Source organism: Homo sapiens, chromosome 2 (genome assembly GCF_000001405.40).
Source record: "Homo sapiens chromosome 2, GRCh38.p14 Primary Assembly".
Classification (NCBI taxonomy): domain Eukaryota; kingdom Metazoa; phylum Chordata; class Mammalia; order Primates; family Hominidae; genus Homo; species Homo sapiens.
Genome location: NC_000002.12, coordinates 5,292,552 through 5,303,064, shown reverse-complemented (window position 1 = coordinate 5,303,064; position 10,513 = coordinate 5,292,552).

The following is a 10,513-nucleotide window of genomic DNA, read 5'->3' as shown; positions in this document are numbered from 1 at the left end:
CTGGGATTATAAGTCTCAGCCACCACACCTGGCCAAATAGATATTTTAAATCTAATTTTGCATAGCTCTTCTACTTTATGATTCCAGTGGCTAGTAGCCTTTTGGAGATGATCCAGCTTTCAAAAACAAATGGTCCTTCCCATAGTCACATATTGCTTCAGAAAATGTTTACTGATACTCATATTATGATAATGGTAACTACTATTTATCTATTTTCAAACCACTTTATGGCGGTATGATTGATATATAAAAAGCTATAGATATTTAACTGATACAGCTCAATGAGGTTGAGCATAAGTATATAATTGTGAAGCCATCACCACCATCAAAGCCATAAAAATATCATTCATTTCCCACAGTTTCCGCTCATGCCCACAATTACGGTAGTTTCCCTTTATCCATGGGGAATACATTCTAAGACCCTCAGTGGATGCCTGAAACTATGAATAGTGCCTTATATATGCCTTTTGTTTCAACTACATACATTTCTATAATGAAGTTTAATTTATTGATTAGGCACAGTAAGATATTAACAAAAATAGCTAATAATAAAAATAAAATAGAACAATTCTAACAATAAACCGATATAAAAGTTATGTGAATGTGATCTCTCTTTTTCCCTCTCTCTCACTCAAAGTGTCTTATTGTACTGTACTTGCCCTTCTTGTGATGATGTGAGGAGATGAAGAGAAGTGAATGATGTAGGCATTGTGATGCAGCGTTAGGCTACGACTGACCTTTTGACCGTATATCGGAAGGAGGATCATCTGCTTTGGGTGGTCCTGGATCACTGAACCATGTCGATGTTGACGGTTGGATGTCAGGAGTGGACAAAGTCAATGGCGGACGGTGGATAGCATATGCAGCATGGGTATGCTGGACAAAGGGACGACTCATGTCCCAGGTAGAACACAGGGGGATGGAACGAGTTTTCATCATGCTACTCAGAACGGCATGTAATTTAAAACTTACAAATGGTTCATTTTTGGAATTTTTCATTTAATATTTTCATATCATAGTTGACCACGGCTAGCTGAAGCTGCAGGAAGTGAAACTGCAGAAAAAGGAGGAGTACTATATTCTTCCCATTATTATTATTACACTGGTGAGAACACTAAACATAAGATCTGTCCTCTTAGAAATTTTAAGGAGAAAAAGACAATATGGTCAGCTATAGGCATGATGCTGTCTAGTAGATCTCTAGAAATTATTGAGCCCTTTTCATGTTCCAGGTTCTGTATTAAGTATTTTATTTATATTTTATTTAAATGCTATAAAGGTTCTTCAAGGAAGAATTTAAAAGAGTACCTCATGTACCTCAGGGATCCGCTGTTTGGCAAATGGTGTGCCATCCCACATCTACCGTAATTGGTTCAGAGAAGGGCAAGTGATCGATTTCTGGACAAGAAGATGTGATGGTTTGTTGTTTAACACTTTCCAGGAAATACATTCCTTTATTAGTAAATGAAAGACACACAAAGAAATAGTCTTGTTATAGTATGCAGCTGTGAAGGATAGATGTTTCATAGAGAGTTTGCCATGTCAAGGGAATCTAAAATGAGGGAAAACACACAGATGGTGGTGGTGGTGGGTGGAAGGAGCTGAAACCATTCTGTTACAGTATTATTTCCCTCATTGTACAGAGAAGGAAATACTCATAATAGAGGTATTTTGCGCAAAATCAAAATGTGACAAAGCTGAGACTGCAAACTATTTTTTTCAACTCCTAAACCCATGTTTTTTCCCACTGAATATTGAAATAACTATTTCTTTTTCAAATTAATACACACTGGAAACAAATTTAGGAGAACATGTGAAGAATTCCACAGTTGTCCTAGTAGCATTTTGTTACCTCAAATTCAGGGCAGTGGAACTGAATTGCAGTGCTGAGCTCTGCAATATCATTCTTCATGAAGGGCATAAACTTCACAGGAATAATTTTTAGAAAAAGCGGTTGAGATTTTTTAGAATCTCATTTCTGATAAGAAACAAAACTTAAAGCCAAAATTTTATAGGTGATGAATGTTTTGGCTGTATCCCAGTAATTATCACTCACCACTTTCATACAGGAATAAATCAGATAATGAAAATTCTGAGAAATTGCCCAGAATCTATAATCTTAATGGCCATTCATTTTCTTACTATTAAGATACATTTTACTTTGTATGGTAAATGTAAAAAATATATCTTTTCTAGTGATGTGGATCCATCTGTTGTCTCCCATGCTTTCGAATTTTTATTCATGGTATTCTGAAAAGTCAGACATTAATATTATTACTCCCTAATGTTTATCCCATGTTTCAAATTATGATACACATTTAGAAAATATAGCTAATTGCTGCACCAGAGACCTTTGCTTTGCCCTGAAAAAGAGAATAAATGATATAACGCTACAATAAAATACTGTTTTTGTTACCAAAGCCAGTTAACAAAATATTCTAGCTTGAAGGGAGTTATTACACATTCTTTCCCCGACCTCACTTCACTCCACCCCAATTCAGAGGCAGTAGTGGTTTAAGAAAAAGACCAAGTACATTACATTCTGGCACAGATTCTAGCTCTGTCATATATAAATTGTGTACATGAAAGTTACTTAACCTTTGATATTTAATCAAAAATTACCAGGCATGCAAAGGAGAGAGACAGTATGACACATAATGAAGAAATAAATGAAGCAGGACCCAGGACTGACCCAGATGTTAAAATTAGGTGGCAGAGACACTAGAGTTATTACAATTATATTCCACACTTTTAAAAAGTTGAGATAGGAGTTATAAAAAGAACAAAATTGAATATCTAGAGAGAAAAATTACAATGTTTGAAACAAAAAATACATTGGCTGAGATTGCTGGTAGATTAGACATTTCAGACAAAAAAGCTAGAGAATGTGAAAACATGGACAAAGACATTATCTAAAATGAAAAGAAAAAGATAAAAAAATGAAATTTGTACCTGTGAGCTTTGGGCAAACTCCAAGTAGCCTAATAGATACATAATTGGTGCCACTGAAGAAGAGGCGAGAGGAGAAAGACAGAAAAATATATTTGAATAGTTGGTGACAGAATATTTCCAAATTTATGACAATTGTCTACCCACAGAGCTAAGTAATTCAAGTTACCTCAGGATAAGACTTAGAAAGAAAACCACACTGGGGCACGTTATCATCAATTTGCTCAAAATTGGTGAGAAAACTATCATCGTAAAAAATGAGAGGAACATGCGGTGTTTGGTTTTCTGTTCTTGTGAGAGTTTGCTGAAGTATGATGGTTTCCAGCTTCATTCATGTCCCTGCAAAGGATATGAACTCATCCTTTTTTATGGCTGCATAGTATTCCATGGTATATATGTGCCACATTTTCTTTATCCAGTGTATCATCGATGGACATTTGGGTTAGTATCAAGTCTTCGCCATTGAGAATAGTGCCGCAATAAACATACATGTGTATGTGTCTTGCTAGGGGAGGGCTAGCATTAGGAGAAATACCTAATGTAGGTGATACGTTGATGGGTACAGCAAACCACTATAGCACGTGTGTACCTATGCAACAAAGCTGCACATTCTGCACATGTAACCCAGAACTTAAAGTATAATAATTAAAAAAATAGTAAAGTTAATGTTTAAAAAAATGAGAGCAACAAAGTTGCAGTAGAAACAAAACAAAGTCAAGATGACAGCAGGTTTCTTATTAGAAACAATGTATGAGGAAAAACGGTGGGGCAGCACCTGTAAAGTGGGGGAAGGAAAATCCCATCAACCTAAAATTCTATACAGAACAATAGCACACACAATGAGAGTCCCAGAAAGAGAGGACAGGGGAAAAACAAACCAAAACAAGCAAACAAACAAAAAACAGAAAAGTATTTGAAGAAACACAGGATTTTTCTTGACTAAAGACCTTTTGGTTTTTGGTAATTTTTTTGTTAAATTCCACACATCTAAAAAAGTTGATATTGACTTTTCCCCCTATTTTTCTCATTGCTTTTATAAAGGAAAAGATTTTAAAATATATTTGCACTGCCACTGGAATAGAGCTATATTTTTGCTATGTTGCCTAGATAAAGAATCTGATTTTTACAAAGCTATAATAATAACTAAATGTGTGTTTGCAATAATAAGATATCTTTTAAAATAGATTGCTGAAGGAGAGAAAAATCATCTTTCTTAAGCTGTCATGTGTGCTGTGAATGATGTACGTATGCACAAAAGGGCAACTTGTGGTCTCCTTGGAGTTAAAAGAAGAATTACTCGAATGAAGCCTGTTTGGAATGTAACTTTTGCTCTCATTTTGAGTTAGATTTGTTTACTTTTAGTGTGTGTGTGTGTGTGTGTGTGTGTGTGTGTGTGTGCGCGCGCGCATGTGTGTATTTGTATGTGTTCTTATGGCCTTGATATTCAAATTTCCCATAGCATTAGGGATTTCTTTTCCTTTTCTGGACTAATTAGAGTAGATTATTTTATAGTACTTACAGAATTGTTCTTTACTAGTGGTAGAATAAATCATTGGAAATATACAGCAATTTTATATGAGATACAGAAATGGTGATTTTTTTCAAGATCACATAACTTATTAGCAGAGTGAGAACTAACATCTGATTTTTAATATCTAAGTGTAGAACTTGATGGAGGTAATTTGTTATCATTATCTTTATGCATGCAATATGATTCTTATTGCATAAAAATACTTGAGCCAACAGTAGCAGATTTTAGAATTTGAGAAAACATGACTATTTTTGTAATACTGCTGAATTTGTAATTTCTTACTATAGGTTTTAATATTTCCAAATATTTAATATTTCCAAATATTAATATTTCCAAATATTTAATATTTCCAAAGAGCCACATCTTTGGAGGTCCACAGTGTTTGAGCTAAAATAATGTCCTTGTTTTCTTTGTTCCTTGCCCAGGTGAAATCTTATATGACTTTAGAAATGCCCTTAAATTTCAGGACAGGTGGTGCCTCTTTCCTCAGGAGATTCTGGAATCCAGACGGCTGCTTAGAGGTGAGAACACCAGGGCAGAGGTTTTGCACCTGCATTTGGGAACCTGTGGTAGACGCCCATCTTAAAACTCTATAGAGACTTACCCCTTTCAAAGCACTTGCCCTTGAGCTGATTTCTGCTTCTCTGAGGTTGTCAGCTTTCCCCAGGCAAATGCTGCGCAGCTCTGGATTTGGAGAAATTTTATTGTTTATAATTAATCAAGGACAAACATGTCCTTGTTTTTGCGTGTTTATTCAGTGATTCCAAAGGGGAGAAACTCATAATTAATGTAACTTATTGACTCTGTTCAATTAAAACCAAAGAGCAGCAGAGGTGAAAAAGAAAGGCATTGCCTCCCAGGAAGACAAATAATAATTCTTACTTATTATTAAACTTAAGAAAAATTATAATGTTGTAGAAAGTCTGTCTAAGATAATAGTTTTATCAGCATTCAAGTGACACTAAGAAACCTGGTTCTCACGATTGAAAATAAAAGGGTAATAAAACTTCCAACTGCTTACTACTAGTTGGATATATTGAATCTTCCACTGATCCATTTGGATACTCCCCCAGAGGAAGTTTCCTTCTTCATACAGGTGTGGGGGGTCATCAACATCTCTTGTAGGAGAACATGCACGAGTGCTGATTCCATAGAGGTTCTAATTCCAATGGTCTGGGGAGCGCCCCTGCCAGCCCCATAGAAAACCTCCCAGTAATTATGAAATACAAGCAGGCTGAGAACTGCTGAAGCCAGTGTTTACTGAAAGAGGCAGTCTTTAATAACGGCAGCAAGATGAGTCAGATAAATACTTGAATCTTAGTTTATCAATTTTTTTCCATAAATATGGAGCACTCAGTAAGTACCAGGCTAAATGCATGACTGATGATAGAATCTGTGAACAAGATAGACATTGTCCCTAACTAATGGACTTTGGTTATTACTGGCTTGGCGGTGTTTGGCAATGCCATAGCTTCAGTTTAATTATGTATAGAGATGATGATATTCATCATATAAGATTGTGTGGGGATTGAGCGATCTAACGTGTGCAAAATGCCTGGTGTAAAAAGGAACTCTATGAAACATAACCCTCACCATTCCCATACACACACGTATATAATGGCAGCTTTTGCTCTACTTACATAGCCAACTATGCAAGTATGTCTAATTAGAATTGGTAACCTAGAGAAGGTTCGATTTAACAGGCAGACAACCTGCTGATTAGGAGACAGATAAAGTTTGGAACATAGAGATTCACATTGTTATTCTAGTTTGAGCATAGCAATAATAAAATATCTGTTTATCAAATGCACATGTTGTGAAAGGCGCTTTATATACATTGTCTGAATTCTCAAATCAACCTCAAAAGTTAGATATTATTATAATGATTACTATGATGAAACTGAATCTCAGAGACTGGGTAACCTGTGTCAGGGTATGTGGGATATGAAGTTAGCTAAAGAGAGAACGGGACTCACAAGCTAGCTCTCTAGGACTCCAGAGTCTGTGTGCATGGAGCAACACTGTGTTGCCTCCGAGTTGTAAAGCGTTGAGCTAGCGATTCCTCCTCTGTGACTTGGGTTCCCATCTGCCAAGTCAGAAAATAATATCTCCCCAACATTATCTATTTGAAGTGTAGAGTTCAATGTAACACACACTTACATAAAAGTTGTAATGTGTTTTAGAAACGCAGCTTTTTCTAAAGACTGCCTATTTTTTTTAATTTTTAAAGATTTATTTGAGACAGGATCTCACTCTGTCACCCAGGGTGGATCTGCTGGGCTCAAGTGATCTTCCCACCTCAGCCTCATGGGTAGCTGGGACTACAGGTGTATGCCAGCACACCTGGCTAGTTTTTAAATATTTCATAGAGATAGGGTTTCTCTATGTTGCCCAGGCTGGTCTTGAACTCCTGTACTCAAGCAGTCTTCCCGTCTCAGCCTCCCAAAATGCTGGGACTGCAGGCGTAAGCCACCATGCCCAGCCTACCTTGTAATTTTTCTTTTTCTATCAGGCTGTGATCTCCCAGCCACAGTTGAATCCATAATTTGATTAATTTAACCACAAACAGTTCCTCCAAAGTAACCTATATGATGGTGAGAGACAATTTTCGGGTTCAGTGTTAACATTTGGACAAAACAGCATTCTGGATTTTAGTATTTTCCCTTCTGAGGGAGAGAAATCCATTTGCTGAAATGGATTCACTTCAACTCTGAAGATGACATTTCTCATTAAGGTAGATTTATCTACACAGAAACGTGGCTAACAGCACTTCGCAGGAACATGGCATTGAGGAGCTTGCCATGGGAATCACCCCAACCGGGAGGCAAGGTCTAGCAGATCGCCAAATCCTGTGGCTCTGAGGCTAATCTCGGGGACCTGCAGCCTGCTGCCCCTACCCTGGACCAGGCAGAGATGGGAAGAGTTTCCCTCCATGCTGCAGGCATCAGGGTGCTTCATTCTGTATTTTATTTTCAGGAAGGGGACTAGAGCTTGATACCTTATCTGTTTTGTGTGTTTCTCCTCCCCCTTTTTAAAGGCAATACATTTCTCATTGCTTCAAATCATTTTTTTTTTTGAATTAGGTAATAAAGAAAGAATGAAACTACTTTATTTGGTAAATCTCATTCATTCATTGATTCATTAAAATTTTATTGAGGTCTTTTGTCTCTGATGCTATATGAGGTGCTCCGAAATGCTTTGGTCTTATAAGACAGAAGTTCTCAATGATATATTTACCTCAACAATTAAGCTGTCCTGGATGAAAAGCTTAACCTTGTATAGGGTGGTAATTGGCTTTCCACAATATGGTGTTGTTGATTTCTCAGGAAACAGTAAATAGAGGCAAAGAAAGCCCTTCTGGCTTGTAAAGCTCTGTGCTTCTCTCTAGTAAACTCTGATTACTCACAAGCATCCACAGGACCATTAATCTCACATCAAATGGAGAAATTAACTCCAGGAAAAGCAAGCTAAACCCCCACCCCTAAACCTCTCAAAACCCCAACATCAAAATGAGCATTGAATATTCAATGTTTTATGAAGAAATCGCAGGAAATTAAAGCAGCCTGAAGCTCATGAATCAGAGGAGACCAAACATGAATGCGTCTGTTTGGTGGGATGGCTGGGTGCCGGGCTGTATGCGTATTCCTAGGGCCTGAAGTCAGAGCAGCAGCTGGAATGAAATCTGCCAGAAAGCCTGGGTGAGTGGAGTCTAACTGGGGTAAACCACCCTTTGCCCACTACAGTCTTCAGAAGGCTGACGAAAAAGAAGAAAGTAATATTAAAACCATCTCCCTTGAATGCTTAATATTTCCAGGGCCATGAATGATTTATGTTTCCAGACATAATGTGCCAAACTCCATACTAAATGCCAAAATTGCTTAATACATTTTCTTAGAGTGAACATTTCCTTCTTTCCTCTTTCTGGTTATCTTTAAGGACACTGGGGCTGCATGATTCCTGATTTGAAAAACAAACAGGGAATATAACGGCCGCTGTTGTATCGCTCCTGACGGGGCTGCGGATCCGGAGCCAGCACATTCGGTTATGGTCCCACTGGCTGCATCCTGGAGTTTGTAGCTTGGGAGGTTCATTTGTCTTTGAGTTTCATGTTCCTCATCCGATGAATCAGATTAGATCAGATCTGTTCCCAGCCTTGCAATCTAAGGGCTTGCAGGTGAAATAAAGTTCATTCTCATGCTATTTTCAATATTTCAAGAGGCCTGAGAAATAGCTGAAATAGAATAAGATTGCAAAGAGAAGTAAACAGCATGTTATCTTTGCTTTTGCCTAGAATGTTTGTAGCTCAATGACAGAAACACTATATCTGGTGGTCCTCTACTATATATTAAGCACTTTATATATAAATCAAATAGAATTATTATGAGAGTCACCATTTTACAAATAGGGAGTTTGAGGCCAAGAGAGGTGAAGTGACTCACTGAAGATTGGGGCCTGGCACAGCTCCTGCCGGTGCTGGGGGCACAGGGTTACTGGGGAGCGGGCAAGAGCTGAGCTCTCCTGGATCTGGACCCTGGACTGAGTCTCCAAGGCTCATCACCACATACACCTTAGGCTCAGAAGAAGCTCAAGTTGACAGCCATCTCCTCTTTAAAAAGAATTATAAACCCAAATTATTACTTAATAAGTTCTTTTTGCTTCATAAGTAAGCATTGTCATGCCATGAGGGTTTGTGAGCATGAGAGGATAACAGATTCTTGGGCTGAAAAGATCACATCATCCAAACTGAATGATTTCTAAGATTCATTATCTTCATGTCTGGCTCTGAGATTCCAAAATTCCTTGACTCTGGTCAAAGTCAGCCAAGCATGGAGTTGTTCCCTCATTTCCAATACATTGTGATTTCCTTTGCCGTCTTTTCCCCTTGGATTCTGCTTCGAGGCTGTGGTGTTTTGGAAGTTGCTAAGTTAAGCGGCAAGTGATAGCATACCCATGGAATACATATTCAAATATATTAAGTACCCTACTTCCTAGGAAAGTAAATTTTGTCTCTAATAAAGTGTTTTTTTTTTCTTCAAAAGAAAAAACAAATCATTGACGCCACTGATGTTCATGAAGGCTAGGCTGCACCAGAGTTTAATTTTGAGGCGTTGGTACTTTGAATTTACCAATTCAGAGATGTGTCAAGTTATGCTGAAGTTAAATTCGGTTTGTCTTACTTTGATTTACCTTTAACTTCAGTAACAGTATGGATTCAAACTGAGGTTCAGAGAACCCACATTTCCTTCTCAGACTTCCTTGAGAAGATGACACTTCAAAAACTGATTAAAATATATAAAAGTTGCCAATTCTTATTCCTAAGGGTGGGGGAGTACAAAAGGGTGAGGATTTTCTTGTATTCAGTGAATCAACTTGAATTTGTAAGCTCTGTTTTCCACGGCTTGGAACTGGAAACCATTCTAATGTTGGAGAGCATCCTGGGCAGGGTACAGGACACTGCTGTAACAGGCTGAGAGCCGGCACAAATAAGGCAGCCAGACACAGTCCTGGGGTGCACATCTAGAGTGGAAATTGTTCAGGTGTCAAGCATGAAGGATTGTTAAATTTTGTGTTGCCATTCGGAGTCTACAACTAGAGAATTTCCAAAATGCATAAATGAATTTGTGTTTTAAGTGTTAGTATTTTCCTTCTGAACCCCAAATAACACTTTCCAGGATTCTATATTAAAGATTGTACTAATCTGTTCTTATGCTGCTGATAAAGACATACCCTAGACTGGGCAATTTACAAAAGAAAGAGGTTTAATGCCTTTATAGTTCCGCGTGGCTGGGGATGCCTCACATTCACGGCAGAAGATAAAAGACACATCTCACTTGGCAGCAGACAAGAGAAGAGGGCTTGTTCAAGGATACTCCCATTTTTACAACCATCAGATCTCGTGAGACTTATTCACTATCATGAGAACAGCAAAGGAAAGACCCGCCCCCATGATTCAATTATGTCCCACCAGGTCCCTCCCACAACACCTGGGAATTCAAGATAAGATTTGGGTGGGGACCCAGCCAAACCATATCA